The 18,002-nt window shown below is 43.1% G+C and overlaps 1 protein-coding gene across 4 annotated transcripts in view, besides 5 other annotated features; it reads right to left on the bottom strand.

Moving 5' to 3' along the window:
- Positions 10,761-11,419: an enhancer, noted in NCBI's record as "NANOG-H3K27ac-H3K4me1 hESC enhancer chr8:21868174-21868832 (GRCh37/hg19 assembly coordinates)". NCBI's record gives its function as "activates a minimal SCP1, AML or CMV promoter by ChIP-STARR-seq in naive H9 embryonic stem cells {active_cell/tissue: H9 hESC(naive)}" and the evidence as "EXISTENCE:reporter gene assay evidence [ECO:0000049][PMID:30033119]".
- Positions 11,365-11,414: an enhancer, noted in NCBI's record as "active region_27074". NCBI's record gives its function as "activates an Ori minimal core promoter by ATAC-STARR-seq in GM12878 lymphoblastoid cells {active_cell/tissue: GM12878}" and the evidence as "EXISTENCE:reporter gene assay evidence [ECO:0000049][PMID:35858748]".
- Positions 11,420-12,079: an enhancer, noted in NCBI's record as "NANOG-H3K27ac-H3K4me1 hESC enhancer chr8:21867514-21868173 (GRCh37/hg19 assembly coordinates)". NCBI's record gives its function as "activates a minimal SCP1, AML or CMV promoter by ChIP-STARR-seq in naive and primed H9 embryonic stem cells {active_cell/tissue: H9 hESC(naive and primed)}" and the evidence as "EXISTENCE:reporter gene assay evidence [ECO:0000049][PMID:30033119]".
- Positions 11,455-11,534: an enhancer, noted in NCBI's record as "active region_27073". NCBI's record gives its function as "activates an Ori minimal core promoter by ATAC-STARR-seq in GM12878 lymphoblastoid cells {active_cell/tissue: GM12878}" and the evidence as "EXISTENCE:reporter gene assay evidence [ECO:0000049][PMID:35858748]".
- Positions 11,655-11,784: an enhancer, noted in NCBI's record as "active region_27072". NCBI's record gives its function as "activates an Ori minimal core promoter by ATAC-STARR-seq in GM12878 lymphoblastoid cells {active_cell/tissue: GM12878}" and the evidence as "EXISTENCE:reporter gene assay evidence [ECO:0000049][PMID:35858748]".
- The window catches only part of XPO7 (exportin 7), an 86,924-nt gene continuing 84,418 nt past the window's right edge, over positions 15,497-18,002 (bottom strand). For all 4 annotated transcript variants that reach the window (NR_156173.2, NM_001100161.2, NM_015024.5 and 1 more), the window contains one exon: positions 15,497-17,087. Coding sequence is in view for 3 of the 4 variants with exons in the window: in NM_001100161.2 (NP_001093631.1) it covers positions 16,994-17,087 (94 nt within the window). In the remaining variant the exon portion in view is untranslated. The remainder of the gene's footprint in view (positions 17,088-18,002) is intronic.

Raw genomic sequence — 18,002 nt, 5'->3', positions numbered from 1 at the left:
AGTGTATGAGTTCCCTTTTCTGCACATCCTCGCCAGCATTTGTCTTTTTGATAACAGCCATTCTAACTGAGGTGAGATGATATCTCATTGTGGTTTTGATTTGCATTTCTCTGATGATTAGTGATGTTGAGCTTTTTTTTTTTTTTTTTTTTTTTTTTTTTTTTTTTTTTTTGAGACGGAGTCCCGCTCTGTCACCAGGCTGGAGAGCAGTGGTATGATCTTGACTCACTGCAACCTCTGCTTCATGGGTTCAAGCAATTCTGCCTCAGCCTCCCGAGTAGCTGTGACTACAGGTGCTTGCCACCATGCCCAGCTAATTTTTGTATTTTTAGTAGGGACTGGGTTTCACCCTGTTGGCCAGGATGGTCTCGATCTCTTGACCTTGTGATCCGCCCACCTCAGCCTCCCAAAGTGTTGGGACTACAGGTGTGAGCCACTGCACCCAGCTGAGCATTTTTTCGTATGCCTGTTGGCCATTTGTTTTCTTTTGAGAAATGTCTATTCATGTCCTTTGCCCACTTAATATTATGTTTGTTTTTTGCTGTTGAGTCATTTGTATTCCTTGTATATTCTGGATATTAGTCCCTTGTTAGATGAATAATTTGCAAATATTTTCTCCCATTCTGCAGGTTGTCTCTTAACTCTGTTGACTGTTTCTTTGCGGTGCAGACGTTTTTGGTTTAATATAGTCTTATTTGTCTATTTTTGTTTTTGTTGCCTGTGCTTTTGAAGTCTTAGCCATAAAATCTTTGCCTAGACCCATGTCCTGAAGCATTTCCCCTAGGATTTCTTCTAGTAGTTTTATAGTTTCAGGCCTTATGTTTAAGTCTTTAATCCATTTTGAATTGATTTTTGTATGTGATGACAGATGGGGTCTACTTTTCTTCTTCTTATCAATATCCAGTTTTCCCAGCACCATTTATTAAAGAAGATGTCCTTTTCCCAGTGTATGTTCTTGGTGCCTTTGTCAAAAAATCAGTTTGTGGTAAGTACATAGATTTATTTCTGGGTTCTCCATTTTTTTCCATTGGTCTGTGTCTGTTTTTATACCAATACCATGCTGTTTTGTTACTATAGCTTTGTAGTGTATAATATTTATATTTATATTTGGGGCAGGGTCTTGCTCTATGTCCCAGGTTGGAGTACAGTAGCAATTTCAGCTCACTGCAGCCTCCACCTCCTGGACTCAAGTGATTCTCCCACCTCAGCCTCTGAAGTAGCTGGGACTATAGGTGTGTGCCATAATGCCTGGCTACTATTTTTTTTTTGGTAGAGATGGGGTTTCTCCATGTTGTCCAGGCTGGTCTCAAACTCCTCTGCTCAAGTGATCCACCCACGTTGGCCTCCAAAAGTGTTGGGATTACAGGCATGTGCTTGCCCACCCTGTAGTATATTTCGAACTCAGGTAGGGTGATGCCTCCAGCTCTATTCTTTTTGCTTAGTATTGCTTTGGCTATTTGGAGTCTTTTGTGATTCTATACAAATTTTAGGATTGTTTTTTCTGTTTCTGTGAAGAGTGTCGTTGCTATTTTGATAGGGATTGCGCTGAATCTGTAGATTGCTTTGGGTAGTATGGCCTTTTAAATTTAATTTTATTTTTATTTCTTATTTTAAAAATTTATTTATTTATTTTTCAGGCAGGGTCTCGCTCTGTTGCCCAGGCTGGAGTGCAGAGGCACAATCATAGCTCACTGTAACCTTGAACTCCTGGGCTCAAGCAATCCTCCTGCCTCAGCCTCCTGAGTAGCTGGGACTGCAAGGTGTGTACCACCATGCCTGGCTAATTTTTAAAATTTTTTTGTTGTGTCTCGTTATGTTGCTCAGGCTTGTCTTGAACTCCTAGGCTCAAGTGATCCTCCCTCCTAGGCCTCCCACAGTGCTGGGATTATAGGCACGAATCATCGTGCCTAGCCGTAGTATGGCCATTTTAACAATATTAATTTTTCCAATCCATGAGCATGGGATGTCTTTCCACTTTTTTGTGACCTTTCCAATTTCCTTCATCAGTGTTTTGTAGTTTTTGTTGTAGAGGTCCTTCACTTCCTTGGCTAACTTTTATTCCTTGGGACTTTATTTTTTGTAGCTCTTGTAAATGGGATCACTTTCTTGATTTCTTTTCTATTTTATTATTGGTGTATAGAAATGCTACTGATTTTCATATGTTGATTTTTGTATCTTGCAACTTCACTGAATTTGTTTATCAGTTCTAGGAGTTTTTTCAGTGGATTGTTTAGGCTTTTCTATACATAAGATCATGTCTGCAAAGAGAGACAATTTGACTTCTTCTTTTCCAATTTCTTTTTATTTTATTGTTTTGTTTTATTTGTTTATTTATTTATTTATTTTCTGAGATGGAATTTTGCTCTTGTTGCCCAGGCTGGAGTGCAATGGCACGATCTCGGCTCACCACAATCTCCACCTCCCGGGCTCAAGCAATTCTCCTGCCTCAGCCTCCGGAGTAGCTGGGATTACAGGCATGTGCCACCACACCTGGCTAATTTTGTATTTTTAGGAGAGATGGGGTTTCTCCATGCTGGTCAGGCTGGTCTTGAACTCCTGACCTAAGGTGATCCACCTGCCTCAGCCTCCCAGAGTGCTGGGTTACAGGCGTAAGCCACCGCACCCGGCCTATTTATTTATTTATTTTTGAGGCAGAGTGTCACTCTGTTGCCCAGGTTGGAGTGCAGTGACGCGATCTCTGCTCACTGCAAGCTCCGCCTCCTGGGTTCACGCCATTCTCCTGCCTCAGGCTCCCGGGTAGCTGGGACTGCAGCCGCCTGCCATGGCGCCCAGCCATTTTTTTTTGGATTTTTAGCAGAGACGGGGTTTCACCGTGTTAGCCAGGATGGTCTCGATCTCCTGACCTCGTGATCTGCCCACCTCGGCCTCCCAAAGTGCTGGGATTACAGGTGTGAGCCACCGTGCCCGGCCTATTGTTTTATTTTGTTTTGAGACAGAGTCTTACTCTGATGCCCAGGCTGGAGTGCAGGGGCGTGATCTTGGCTCACTGTAACTTTTGCCTTCTGGGCTCAAGCGAATCTCCTTATTCAACCTCCTGAATGGCTGGGATTACAGGTGCCAGCCACCATGCCTAGCTAATATTTGTATTTTTAATAGAGATGCAGTTTCACCATGTTGGCCAGACCAGTCTTGAACTCCTGACCTCAAGTGATCTGCCCACCTTGGGCTCCCAAAGTGCTGGGATTACAAGCGTGAGCCATTGCACCCGGCCCCTTCTTTTCCAGTTTAGAAGCCTTTTATTTCTCTCTTACCTGGTTGTTCTGGCTAGTACTTACAGAACTGTGTTGAATACGACTGGTGAAGGTGGGCATCCTTGTCTTGCTCCAGTTCTTACAGGAAAGGCTTTCAGCTTTCTCCCATTCAGTATGTTAGCCTTCTGTGGGTTTGTCATATATGGCCTTTATTATGTTAAGGCATATTACGTGTATGCATAACTTGTTGAGAATTTTTATCATGAAGGGATGTAGACTTTTATCAAATGCTTTTTCTGCATTTATTGAGATGATTATATGGTTTTTGTCTCTCCTGGTATTCTTACCCTACAATTCCACCTAGGAAATTTCTCATCCATATATAAAGTTCATTGATTTTTTTTTTTAAAAAACCACCTTAATGAGGTATGATTGATGTGTAAAAGGCTGTACAGATTTAAGGTATACATCTTGTTGAGTTTGGGGATAAATATACGCCTATGAAACCCTCACCACCATCATGGCCATGAACATATCCATCAGCTCCCAAAGTTTTCTCTTGCCCTCTTTATTATTATTATTATTTATTTATTTATTTATTTTTTTGAGATGGAGTTTCGCTCTGTTGCCCAGGCTGGAGTGCAGTGGCATGATCTCAGCTCACTGCAACCTCTGCTTCCCAGGTTCAAGCCATTCTCCTGTCTCAGCCTCCCGAGTAGCTGGGACTACAGGCACCCACCACCAAGCCCAGCTAATTTTTTTATTTTTAGTAGAGACGAGGTTTCACCATGTTGGTCAGGCTGGTCTTGAACTCCTGACCTCGGGTGATCCACCTGCCTCAGCCTCCCAAAGTGCTGGGATTACAGATGTGAGCCACCATGCCTGGCCTGTGTTTTTTCATTAAGAACACTTACTGTAAGATCTATTCTTTTAGCAGATAGTAAGTATTCTACTGTAGTTACTAAGTATTGTTAGTTCTAGACACTGTGTTGCATACTGGACTCCAGATTTATTTTGCATAACTGAAACTTTGTACACTTTGACCATCACCTCCCCGTTTTCCTCTCCTCCCAGTGCCTGGCAACCATTCCTATACTCCTTGCTTTCGTTATTTTGACTATTTTAGATCCCACATGAGTGAGATCATGCACATTTGTCTTTCTGTGTCTGGTTTATTTCATTAAACATAATGCCCTCCAGGTCCAGCCAGGTTGTCCTAGAGGACTGAATTGCCTTCTTTTTCAAGGCTAAATAATATACCATTGTATGTATGTACTATTTTCTATATCCTGCGTCCATCAGTGGGTGTTTAAGCTGTTTTCATATTTTGGCTATTGTGAATAATGCTGTCATGAACACAAAAGTGCAGATATCCCTTTGAGATTCTAATTTCATTTCCTTTGGATATATAGTCAGGAGTGGGATTCCTGGAACACAGGTAATTCGATTTTTATTTTCTTGCTGACAGGTTTCACTCTGTCACTCATGCTGGAGTGCAGTGTGATCATGGCTCACTGCTGTCTTGAACTTCTAGGCTGAAGCGATCCTCCCACCTCAGCCTCCCACGTAGCTGGGACTACAGGTGTGCGCCACCATGTCTGGCTAATTTTTTTTTTTTTGGAGAGACAGGGTCTTGCTATGTTGTCCAAGCTGGTCTTGAATTCCTAGCCTCAAGCAATCCTCCCATCTTGGCATCCCAAAGCACCAGGATTACAGGCATGAGCCACTATGCCTGGCCTCTATTTTTAATTTTTTGAGGAACCTCCATACTCTTTTCCTTAGCAGCTTTTACATTCATTCCCACCAAGCATGTACAAATGTTCCTGTTTCTCCACATCCTCAACAATTGTTTTGTTTTTTTGAGGCAGGGTCTCCCTCTGCAGTCCAGGCTGGAGTGTGGTGGCATGATCACGACTCACTGCCACCTTGACCTCCTGTGCTCAAGCGATCCTTCTGCCTCAACTTTCTGAGTAGCTGGGACTATAGGTGTGTACCACTATGCCCAGTACATTTCTTGATTTTTTTTTTTGTAGAGTTGGGGTCTCACTATGTTGCCCAGGTTGCTCTTGAACTGCTGAGCTCAAGTGATCCTCTTGCCTCGGCCTCAACGTGCTGGGATTAGAGGCGTGGGCGATTTTTTTTTTTTTTTTTTTTTTAAGACGGAGTTTTTCACTGTTGCCCAGGCTGGAGTGCAGTGGTGTGATCTCAGCCCACTGCAACCTCCACCTCCCGGGTTCACACCATTCTCCTGCCTCAGCCTCCCAAGTAGGTGGGACTACAGGCACCCGCCACCACGCCTGACTACTTTTTTTTTGTATTTTTAGTAGAGACGGGGTTTCACCATGTTAGCCAGCATGGTCTCGATCTGCTGACCTCGTGATCCAGCCGCCTTGGCCTCCCAAAGTGCTGGGATTACAGGCATGAGCCACTGCGTCAGGCCCATTTTTTGTTTTTTGTTTTTTTAAATAATAGCTGTCCTAACAGGTGGTAGATGATATCTACTGTGATTTGATTTGCATTTCTCTGATGGTTAGTGATGTTGAAGCATCCTCTCATACACCTGTTGGCTGTTTGTCTTTTTGGAAAAATGTCTAGGTCTTTTCCATCTTTCTTTCTTTTTCTTTCTCCTCCCTCCCTCCCTTCTTTCCTTTTTTTTTTTTTTTTTTTTTTTTTTTTTGATGGAGTCTCACTCTGTCCCCCAGGCTGGAGTGCTGTGGTGTGATCTTGGCTCACTGCAACTTTTGCCTTCCAGGTTCCAGTGATTCTCGTGCCTCAGTCTCCTGAGTAGCTGGGATTACAGGCATGCACCACCACACCCAGCTAAGTTTTTGTATTTTTAGTAGAGCCATGTTGGCCAGGCTGGTCTGAAATTCTTGGCCTCAAGCAATCTGCCTGCCTCGGCCTTCCAAAGTGCTGGGACTGCAGGCATGGGCCACCGCTCTGGCCTGGGTGGTCTTTTCTAAAATGGTGCCAGAGGAACTGGCTCTATCTCTTTGGCATGAGCTGGGCTTCTGCTGTGCAGGAATTAGCTTTTTCTTTTTAAATTAACTTTATTGAAAAATAATTTATATACAAAAAACTGCACTTGAACGGGCACAGTGGCGCACGCCTGTATTCCCAGTAATTTGGGAGGCCAAGACAGGATGATGGCTTGAGGTCAGGAGGTCAAGACCAGCCTGGGTGATAGAGTGAGACTCCGTTAAAAAAAAAAAAAAAATTAGGAAAAAAAGATTAGCCAGGTGGTATGACACGCTCCTGTAGTCCTAGCTACTTGGGAGCTGAGGTGGGAGGAGCACTTGAGCTTGGGAGTTTGAGGCTGCAGTGAGCTGTGGTCACACCACTGCACTCCAGCGACAGAGTGAGACTCTGTCTAAAAAAACCCAAAAAACTGCATTCATTTTAACTGTATAGTTTGATGAGTTGTGACAAATGTATACACCCATGTAGCATCACCCCAGTCAAGATATAATTTCCATTGTCCCTTCCTACTTTCCTTGTTTCCCTTTGCAGTCAATGCCCCCTGCCCCACCCCCTGCTATGCCTAACTGGCATTAGGCAAATGCTAATCTGCTTTCTGACATTACAGATTAGTATTGCCTGTTCTAGAACTTCATATAAGTAGAATCCTACAGGGTCTTTTTGTTGGCCTTTTTTTGCTAAGCAAAATGTGTTTGAGATTTATTTATTTATACTGGTGCTTGTATCAGCAGTTTGTTTCTTGTTTTGGTTGAGGAGTATCCCACAATTGGTCTATCCAGTCATCTGCCCGTTAGTGTTATGTGTCAACATGACTAGGCTATTGACCCAGTTATTCAAGCAAATATTAGTCTATGTGTTGCTATCAAGGTAATCTGTAGATGTGATTAACATCTACAATTCATTGACTTTGAGTTAAAGGAATTACCCTTGATGATGTGAGTATGCCTCACCCAATAAGTTGAAAGACTTCAGGAACAGAAGTGAGGTTTTCCTGAAGTCCTGCCTGGGGACTGCAGCTTCAGCTCCTTGCTCCTCTCCCCCTTCCAAGCTGCTCTTCCTGATGGCCTGCCCTATAGATTTCATACTCTCCTGGTTGGTGCTCATAATCACATGAGCCAATTCCTTGCAGTAAGTCCCTGTCAGATAGACCTGTTGGTGAACATTTGGGAACTTTCCAGTTTTAAACAATTGTGAATAAAACGGCTATGAATATTTGAGAGCAAGCCTTTGGATGTATGTTTTAACTTTTCTTGGGTAAACATCTAGGAGTGGAATTGCTGGATATGTGGTAAGCATATGTTAAGCTTTATATGAAACTGCAAAACTACTTTGACATGCTGTACCCTTTTATTTATTATTTTTATATTTGAGACAGGTTCTCACTCTGTTGTCCAGGCTGGAGTGCAGTGGCATGATCATGGTTCACTGTAGCCTTGACCTCCCCAGGCTCAGGTGATCCTCTCACCTCAGCCTCCCGTGTAGCTGCAACTACAGGCATGTGCCACCATGTCTGGCTATGCTGTACCATTTTACATTTCTACATATAATGTATAAGAATTCTTGCGATTCTCCTGCCTCAACCTCCCGAGTAGCTGGGACTACAGGCGTGTGCCACCACGCCCAGCTAATTTTTGTACTTTTTTTTTTTCAAGACGGAGTCTCACTCTGTCGCCCAGGCTGGAATGCAGTGGCGCAATCTCACCTCACTGCAACTTCCACCTCCCGGGTTCAAGCACTTCTCTGCCTCAGCCTCCTGAGTAGCTGGGATTACAGGCACCCACCACTATGCCCAGCTAATTTTTGCATTTTTAGCACAGACCGGGTTTCACCATCTTGTCCAGGCTGGTCTTGAACTCCTGACCTCGTGATGCACCCGCCTCAGCCTCCCAAAGTGCCGGGATTACAGGTGTGAGCCACTGTGCCCGACCTAATTTTTGTATTTTTAGTACAGACAGGGTTTCACCATGTTGGCCAGGATGGTCTCGATCTCTTGACCTTGTGATCCACCCGCCTCAGCTTCCCAAAGTGCTGGGATTACAGGAGTGAGCCACCGCACCCAGCCAATGTATAAGAATTCTAATTATTCTACATCTTTGCCTACACTTGGCATTCAGTGTTCTTAATTCTAGCCATTCTAGTGGATGTATAGTGGCATTTCATTGTAGTTTTTATTTGCATTTTCTTGATGACAAGTGATTTTGAGTTTCTTTTCAACGTGATTACTGGTCATTTGTAAATCTTATTTTACAAAATGCACGTTCAACTATTTTGTCCATTTTAAAGTTGGGTTATTCTTAGTGAGTTTTGTGTGTGTGTATGTGTTTCTTTTTTCTTTTTTTTTTTTTTTTTTGGACAAGGCCTTGCTCTGTTGCCCAGGCTGCAGTGCTGTGGTAACATCATGGCTCACTGCAGGCTCTGCCTCCCTGGCTCAAGTGATCCTCCCACTTCAGCCTCCCAAGTAGCTGGAATTACAGGAATGCACCACCATGCCTGGCTAATTAACTTTTTTGTTGTTGTTGTGGAAATGAGGTCTCACTATATTGCTCAGGCTGATCTTGAGCTCCTGAGCTCAAGGGATCCTCCTATCCTGGCCTCCCAGAGTGCTAGGATTACAGGTGTGAGCCACTGCACCTGGCCCTTCTTTTTTTTATATTTACTAGATACCTGTTTTGTGTCAAATATATATGTTCGAATATTTTTTTCACTCCGATCTGTGGCTTGCAGTTTCATTTTAAAAATAGTGTGTTTTGAAGTGCAGAAAATTTGAAGTTCTTTTTTTTCTTTTATGGCTCATGCTTTTGGTGTCTTAAGACATCTTGGCTTAACTCAAAGTAATGAAAGTTGTTTTTGTTTTAAGTTCTCTTCTAGAAATATTTTACCTTTTACATCTATCATACATTTTAAGTTAACTTTTATGTGTGGTGTTAGATAAGGATCAGAGTTTATTTTTCCCCTCAACTGCATATCCAGTTCCTCCAGTACTATTTTTGGAAGAGATAATCTTTTCCTACTGAATTACTTTGGGATCTTTGTTGAAAATCAAGCTCATATGTTATTCTGCTTTTGGACTTTATTCTGCTTCACTGATCTGTATGTCTATCCTATCCTAGTGTCAATGCCACACTGTCTTCATTACTATATCTTTATAGTAAACCTTGAAATTAGGTAGCATGAGTTAGGATTCTTCTTCTACTTCAAATATGTTTTGGTTATTCCAGATTCTTTGCATTTTCATATAAATGTAAGATTCAACTTGTTGCTACAAAAAAACCTCTTGGGATTTTTATTGGGACTTGACATCACAAACTGTATTCATCCAATCGACAAACATGTTACACCAATTAAAATCTTTAATTTTCCTCAGCAATGGTTTATAGGTTTTAGTGTACAGATATGGCACATATCTTGTTAAATTTATTCTTATGTATTTCATGTTTTTGGATGCCACAGCAAATGGTATATATTTTGCCAATTAATTTTTTAAAAAAAATATTCTAAGATTCAGGTACATATTTTAAAATTTCACCTTGTAATTGTTTATCATTGGTATAAAGAAATAAAATTGTTTGTATGTTGACCTTCTGTGATTTTGCTAAATTCCCTTGTTACAGTAGCTTTTTTACACCTCAAATCATGACACCTGTGAATAAAGACAGTTTTACTTTTTCCTTTCTCATCTGTGTGCCTTTCATTTCTTTTTTGTGCCTTTTTGCTCTGGTTAGAACCTCTGGCACAACGCTGAATAGAAGTGGTGAGAATAGGCAACCTTGCCTTATTCATGATCTTAGGGGAATCAGTCTTTCACCTTTAAGTATGTTGTTAATGGTTGGTTTTTCATAGATGTCTTTTACTGGATTGTTTTCTTTCTATTCCTAGTTTCCTGAGTTTTTCTTTTCTAATCATGGATGGATATTAAGTTTTGTCACATCTTTATCTATTGAGATGATCCATTACTTATCCTTTATGTGGTTAATTACATTTATTAAAAAAAAGTCAAACCAACCTTGCATTCCTAGGATCAATCCCATTGGTCATTTTATATGCCTTCCCTTCCCCGCCAATGTTTTTTGGTTTTGAGATAGGGTCTTGCTCTGCCACCCAGGCTGGAGTGCAGTGTTGGGATCATAACTCATTGCAGCCTTGGCCTCCTGGGCTTAAGTGACCCTCCCCCCTCAGCCTCCAGAGTAGCTGGACCACAGTCAAGTGCCAACATGCTCATGAGTCTTGTTCATTTTTTGTAGGGATGGGGTCTTACTATGTTGTCTAGGCTGGTCTCCATCTCCTGAACTCAAGTCATCCTTCCACCTAAGTCTCCCAAAGTGCTGGGGTTACAGGTGTGAGCCACTGTACCCAGCCACTTTTTTTAATGTACTGTTGCATTTGACTTGTTTCTATTTTGTTAAGGAGTTTTGCATCTATGTTCATGAAGGATAGTGGTCTAAAAAGGTTTTGTTTTTCTCTTTAATGTCTGTGGTTTTGGTGTTTGGAAACAGCTTATTTCAAAGTGAGCCGGGAAGTGTTCCCTCTACCACTATTTTTATTTTTGAAAAATCGAGACGGGGTCTCCCCATGTTGCCCAGTCTGGTCTTGAACTCCTGGGCTCCAGAGATCCTCCTGCCTCGGCCTCCCAAAGTGCTGGGATTACAGGCATGAGCCACCATTCGTCGCCCCCTTTCTACTATTTTCCGAACTTTTGTGGGACTGGCATTTTCTTCTGTAGCAATCTCCCCAGCGCTCTGCCTGCAAGAGCAGGGAATTCTCTTTGGATGGGAGTCCCAATTAGGCTCACCCAGCGCGGCGCCTTCTCTCCTGCACCCTCATCCCCAAAGTGCTCCACACTCCCTCTTCCTGACTCAGTTGGCGCTCTATCCTGGAACGTGGGAATCATACCAGAATCCTCTTTACTCCAAATGCAACTGATCACAAAGCCCTCCTCTCCTAACATCGCCCAACTATCCCCGCAGTCTTTGTCTTGGTCCAAGTCCGTATTCCCCACTAGCTGGTGGGCTAAACAAAGACTGGTCACCAGGCTGCTTTGCCAAGTGGCCTTTGGAAACGCAGAGCTTTCAGGATCAAATACCAAGCTCCTATGCCCAGCCCTCATCCAGACACACACAAGGCTGCACCTTCCCTCCGGCCACACCATTTGTGCAGCCCCGAGTGCTCTCCCCTGCCTTCTCTGGCAGGCCAACCCCTGCGGGGGCTGCGCCTGCATGCCCTCCCACGAACCCTAGGGCATCCCATGTGCGCCATGGCCGTCCCTTTCAGGGTATCCCCGAGCCACCGCGTTCTTCGGAGCAGGGGCCTTGTCCTTAGCAGCTGCACCCAGCCCGGGAACAGCGCCGCTGATTAGCACTGCGGCTGCCTGCTGCAAGCCACGGTGCGTGTGAACTCGAACCTCTGCCAGGCACACGGCGCCGTGGGGGCCCAAGGGCCGCAGGAACCCAGCTCTGGACTTCCCCAGGAACGCTCCCGCAAAGCAATTAAGACCTCGCTCTTCCAGCGGCAACACTAGAACCCCCGGCCAGGACCGAGTCTGGACTGCGCCTGCGCGCGGCGGCGAAAGCTGGGGGAGAGCCGGAACAGAGGCCGTGGACACCTGAGTGCGCAGGCGCCACCTTCCGGCGGAAGAAACTCGCGAAATTACTTCCGGGGCTGCAGCGCTGTCGGGGAGGTCAGGCCAGGTGGGGTGCAAACTCTCCCTTTCTTTCGCAGGGTGCAGGCGGGATGGTGTCAATAGCTTTTGCTCTTTTCATTGTCGTAGCGAGCTATGGCAGCGATGTGAGGGTTAACCTGCATAAACCAGTCTGGCGTCTCTCTGCAGGGGCTTCACCCAAATTAATTCCACCGCTCCCCTTACTGTACACTCCCCAGAAACTGCACATCCTTGTCGCTGGTCATGACACCATGGTCTGGGCCCAGCTCGTAAGAAGCACACTTTGGCTACTGGGACAGGCAGGGGTTGGGGTTAGGAACACTCCAAACAGAAGAGTAGGTGGGCCCTAAGGCTCTTAGGAATGGGCACAGTAAGGGGAGACTTGAGAAGGATTAGGTCCGATTTGGGGTCTAGAAAAGCGTAGGCGAGCAAAGGGCATGTAAATTTAGACTGAGAAGAGAGGGTTCTGCAGACCAGCAAAGGCCGGGGGTAGGATGTGGAGGCAGAGATGGCAGTTGCATCCACATAGTTGAATGTATGAATTCTGGTGCAGCATTCGTAGCTTGGCTGATAAAGTTTTTAACTTGTGACACATGCCCTGGACTGCAAAGTGTTAAAAGGGTAGATACCTAGTTTCCTAATGAAATAACGGCTTGCATTCTTCTAAACTTAAAAGTCGTTTTGTTTCCATCATCTTAAACTGGCACTCTCAACCATTTTCCAGTTGAATTAATTTGGCCTTGAGAGGATGCTTTACCTTCATTACACAGTATAGTCAGCTGGGGAGAGGTTTGGGTTTTCTGACTGAGACCACGGCTCTTACATTCTCCCACTCTTTCACTAGCTGTAGGGAGTGACTGTTAGACTCTTTATTGGCCCTTCTGAGCTTTACATAAGTTTTTATCCACTGTCCATTAGTTTGTATCCTGTGAGTCTGTCTTCCAGACCTCGAATCCAGAGGCTCTGACTTGCTAACTCTGTGATTCAATAGCAAGGGTAAGGAGATTCCCCACTTGCCATTCTTTTAGGCCATATGCATGCTGCCGTATGCTTAAGTGCGCTGAGTTGTCTTCATGGCTATCAAGTAGAATTAAAATAATTGTGCATGGTGCTTTTGTAAGTACTGTTTACTATGTTTTAGAGTCAGTTTGTATTACTGAGTGATCATGAAACAGAAGAATGGAGGCAAATTTGCCTTGCAAGTGACTTTTTCTGCTTTTGAGTTTCCTTTTCCATTCCTGACCATCAAAAAGATACCTGGCCCATAATAGATGCTGAATAAGTATTTGATGAACAGATGACAAAGGGTAGCAGTCAGGCTGTCCTGAGAACCAGAAGGCTTTTCTGAGGAAGGGGAATGATTTTCCAAACTTGATGTCATCCTCTACCTTGACAGTCTCACGTCCCATTGTCTGGCAGCTGATTCCTTTAGTTGATCTGCTCTTCCTGAAAAGCACCCAAGTGGCAGGCGACCAGTGAGTTCAGGGTGAAGACACCCAAGATAAATGTAATGGACCCAGAGGACAAGCTACAGAGGCAAGAATCTTTTTACACATGACCTAGTATCTAATTATGGCTGATGAACACATTTTCATCCTTTCAAATACTTAAAAAATATTTAAAGAACCACCAGGACTTTTAAGTAGTTATAATCACTTACATTTTTCAAGGCCTAATCAACAAACTTGTGGCTTTTACAGGGTCCCTATAACTATATTTCCTTTGGCATTCGAGAGTTTTGGCAGCATTATATGTCAATTTAGGCTTGTAGGTCTAGCCAGAAATCTTGGGCTAGGGTTGGCCTGGACAGGGTTGGCTGGTGGCAAATATGATATAGGGAGTTTTTCTGGCTTTCTAGATTTAATTCATGTTACCCCACAAGCATGGATATTTTGGAAAGTGGTCTGTTGATGTACTTAGTTGAAATTTCAAAAGGTACTAAAACATTTTTTCCAGTGGGGAGTTGGGGGGAGGGGAAAAAGTCCCTTAATAAAGCCAATGTTTTAGAGAATGAAAAACTTATTTCTTATGTTGTCACTTGTCATTAGAAAATGGACACTTCTGCCCAAAGTCATTACTTCTTAAAATTTAAAAACTTAAAATTGCAATCTTGGGCCAAATCCCTTCTTCCTTTGTCTGATTTACACATTAGTGGGAATAGATAACCCTTACTTGGGCTGAGCCAACAAAACACATACAAACACAATTTAATAATCTGTAGTAAAGAACGTTTTCAATGTAAGGCACAGTTTGTGTCAGGAAACACTATCTAAAGACACTTGACTTGATGAACACAGTGCCTGGGGAATAAGCCTAGAAATTCCCAAATACACTTTTGTTTTGACTGAATAAAATCTCATGATTTCTGGGGAAACCAAAATCTAAAGATAACCAACTATTACATTTACTAGGTTGAATCATATGAAATTGCTAACTGACCATTTTTGACCAAAAGGTGATTTGGTGCCCCCTCTTTGAATTGTCAGCAAAGGAGGGAACAGCTTCACTGTTTAAAAAGTCTGATGAAGTTGTGGAAGATTTTAACCATGGCAGAGGAGGGAACAGCTTCACTGTTTAAGTCTGATGAAGCTGTGGAAGATTTTAATCATGGCTCCTTGTGATTGGACTACACTCAGGGCTGTAATGAGGAGACCACCATCTTTGGTGAGTTTCTTGCCCAGGGAAGGGAGAGGTCTGGGGTTTTGCTGATTAATCAGCATCTCAAAGCAGTTGGGGGAAAGGGGACTTCTCTTTAAGTATCCATGAGAAAGTTATTTTTGTGTCACCTAACTATAGAATCAGAATTCCAGGTCTCTGGGGCATGTGTCAGAAGTATATGCATATTAATGAAAACTCACCATTTAATATGTTAGGCTTAGAGATGGAATTTAGCTAAGATTAATCAACTCCATTTGCCTTGTAGCCATCAGAATTTTTTTTGCCTTTGAAATAAGTTAGGACTGAGGCAGCTATAGCAGTTCCCAGAAGGCTGAAACTGCAAAGGTAGTGGTACATCTACATAATGCAGACAAGAATGGCACCCTGGCACCCAAGAGTCATGGGATGGAAATCTGCATTAAGGTACACATACCTGTCTGTATCTTAATACTTTTCTGTGTTTCTGGCAATCAAATTTCCTCATACTCAGGTACTCTGAATACACAGTGCAGGCCTTAGAAGTAGTCTCTGTTAACAAGTGTTCCTCTTTTGATAAATCTGGCCTGTGAGGTCTGCAACGTATTCCAGGGGGATAACATTTGCCCCTGAACTTGTCATAGTCTAATGAATGAAACTCAGCCCACATCAGAGAAGCTGATGTCAGAACATTAAAACACTGGGCTTTCTTCAATTGCTACTTGTCTGCCAGTAGCCATGTTATTATCTGAAAGCTAACAGAGAGGTAGAATGGCTTGTGCTTTATAGCTATGGACAATAGCATGTGACTGGTTTTGTTGACAGAGATATATCAATCATATTATACTTTTGAAAGAAACTGAGTCAGACTCTGTGCAATGAGAAACAAGTCAATTTGATCAGGTGAAGGGGCCCCTGTCATTCACGGGCTTTTAAAGAATGTTTCACACAGCTTCATGTGTTTTGAGTGAGACATGTCCTTGGACGCACACTGGACATGATTGCTGAAGCCAGGTCAGTAGAAACCATTGAAGTTTATTGGCGGTCACAATGCTTACACTGTATGCAGCAAACACCCTTACAAGTCTATCCGCAACCTGATCACGCAAGAAAGGATTCATCACACAGTCGCCAGAGGAGAAGGAAAAAAAATTAACAGGCTTGTTTCTGGGGGTAGAGGAAAGAAATAAAAATAAAACCTAATTGATGAGTGTCCCGTGGGCAAGAGCTGAACTAGAGATGTGTACAACTAGCAGCAACAATTGTGGAAAAAGTACAAGGCAAATAGCTGTCTCCATTAATTTTCCTCTGTAGGTTATTATTTTTTTTAATATTCAAAACATTTATTATGGTTTTCATTTTATAAAAATGTATATTTTTTAAGGGATGGGAGAATGTTAAATACTTCATGCTAGGTAGACCTTGTTATTAAGAACCCTTCCACTGTAGTAACTTCCTCCAGTTCATACATTCATGAGTGCAGGGTACATATATAAATATCCACACGCATACATCCACACACACTGCCTCGAGGGCTGGGGAAGACTAAAATTTATTGGCCACACACAGCAGGGCCTCTGGTGGACTCACCCACATTGCTCCCAGGAGAGCAGTGGGCTCACTTCCTTCTCTCTGGTCTCTGCCTTCACACAGACCAAGAACCCTACAACACGTCGTTAAATCCAACTTTTAAAAGCAAGAGGCATCTGTCTGAGGATGAGGGTAAGCAAAGTAGGAAAGAGGGTGGAGATAAGAACACCAAACACTTTTAGCTGGAGTTATTTATCACTGCAAGGGGCTAGGGACCCAGGGCAGAATCTACACGGTCCAAGGGGAGGGACGGTGTTCTGGCATGGCTTAGAGTTCCTAATAACAAGGGTTAATACAGTAACAGGAATTGATCATTTCTGGGTGAGGACAGGGCAATACGAAAAAATATACATTTGGAATTTTAGCTTTTTTTTTGCCTCTCTACTGTGTCACTAAATATATCTCTGCACTCTCACACATCCTTGTCCAGTAAAGCTTCAGGCCACCAGAATACACATTTTCTTCACTCGCATACACAACCCCTCACATCAGCATTGGTGCACTAGACTCTGTAAAAATTTTTCAGTCACACTTTTTGTTTTTAAACTTGAGTCAATATAAACCTTGTTCAAAATGTTATGAAAAAATGTACATGTTTATACAAGGCAGGTTGTGGCAGGACACTAGGGGTTCTCCCCACTTGGGTGGCCCCAGGAGGAGAGGCTGGAGTCTCAGTTTGTATCTCTTATCTCCTCCCACCACCCTTCCCACCCAGTCCCCCAGGAACCAGCAGCGCCCTGCCCCCTAGTGAGTGTACTCACACCCCTATTCCCTGGGGAAGCAGCTAGTTGACCTTTGCCATTTTCCCCACACCCCTGGAGAAAAGAGCCAGGATCAGCCAGGCCCTCTCCCTTGCAATTGTTCGCCCCTCTGGGCCAAACCAAAGGGACGCTGCTCTGTACAGGTAGAGTCCAAGGAGGTGTCAGCTCATCATGTCATTGCTATTCACGCCATAAGTGGAATTCTTCATTGAGTCGTTGACTTCTCGACGGAATGCTGACAGGTTCTGGGTGAACCTGCAGAGAGGATGCATGTGGGTTGGGGGAGGAGAGTGGGGGGGAAAGGTATTTGCCTTTTTTTTTTTTTTTTTTAAAGCATGGGAAGTAGAATGTATGAATTGATGGGTTCTGTTTCAAAGATCAGTTAATTTCAGTCTTAAGACTCTAAGAGAAAAGTTGGCTTAGAGATCTGGTCAAATCTGGGGCCCTGAGGGCTACCTTGGGCTCATGGCAGCACAAAAGAAATCTCACTGACAGAAGTAGGAAGTTGCCCTCACACGTGAGGGCAGTAAGCCAATGAAGCCATCTCATTTCTTAATGCAGCAAGACCAGGTGGTGCAGTGCTATGCTGTCCAATAGGGCGGCTGCTAACCACATATGGCTACCGTGCCCCTGAATTATGGCCAGTGTGACTGAGAACATGAATCCAAATTAAATACAATTTAACATTCAGCTCCCCAACTGCATCTTAATTTTAAATTAAAATGCCTTGTTTTAAATTAATTAAAATTAAATAAAATTTAAAAGTTAATTGCAAAGCCCAGATACTCAATGCAGTTACTGGAAAGTCCCTAGGTGTGTTTGAAACAATCTGGGTATTACAGGAATCTACTTTGTCAACTGTAAATTTATGAAATCTAAATACAGATCAAGTATTTCTGATGAAAACGTATGAACTGAGATATGCTGTTAAATGTAAAGTACACAGGATTTTGGAAATGTAGTACAAAAAGAATGTGAAAACCCACAATTTTAAAATACTGATTACACACTGATACAATATTTTAGATACAATGGGTTAAATAAAATATATTATTAAAATGAATTTTGCCTGTTTAACATGGCTCACTTTTCTATTGCATTGCATTGCTTTAGATGGCCTCCAAACACAGATGTCAAAGACTTTAAAGCAACTGCCTGTTTCGTTGATTT

The sequence above is a fragment of the Homo sapiens genome, chromosome 8 (genome assembly GCF_000001405.40).
Source record: "Homo sapiens chromosome 8, GRCh38.p14 Primary Assembly".
NCBI lineage: Eukaryota > Metazoa > Chordata > Mammalia > Primates > Hominidae > Homo > Homo sapiens.
Note: the sequence above shows the minus strand (reverse complement) of the source record. Positions and strands in the feature narration are given on the sequence as shown.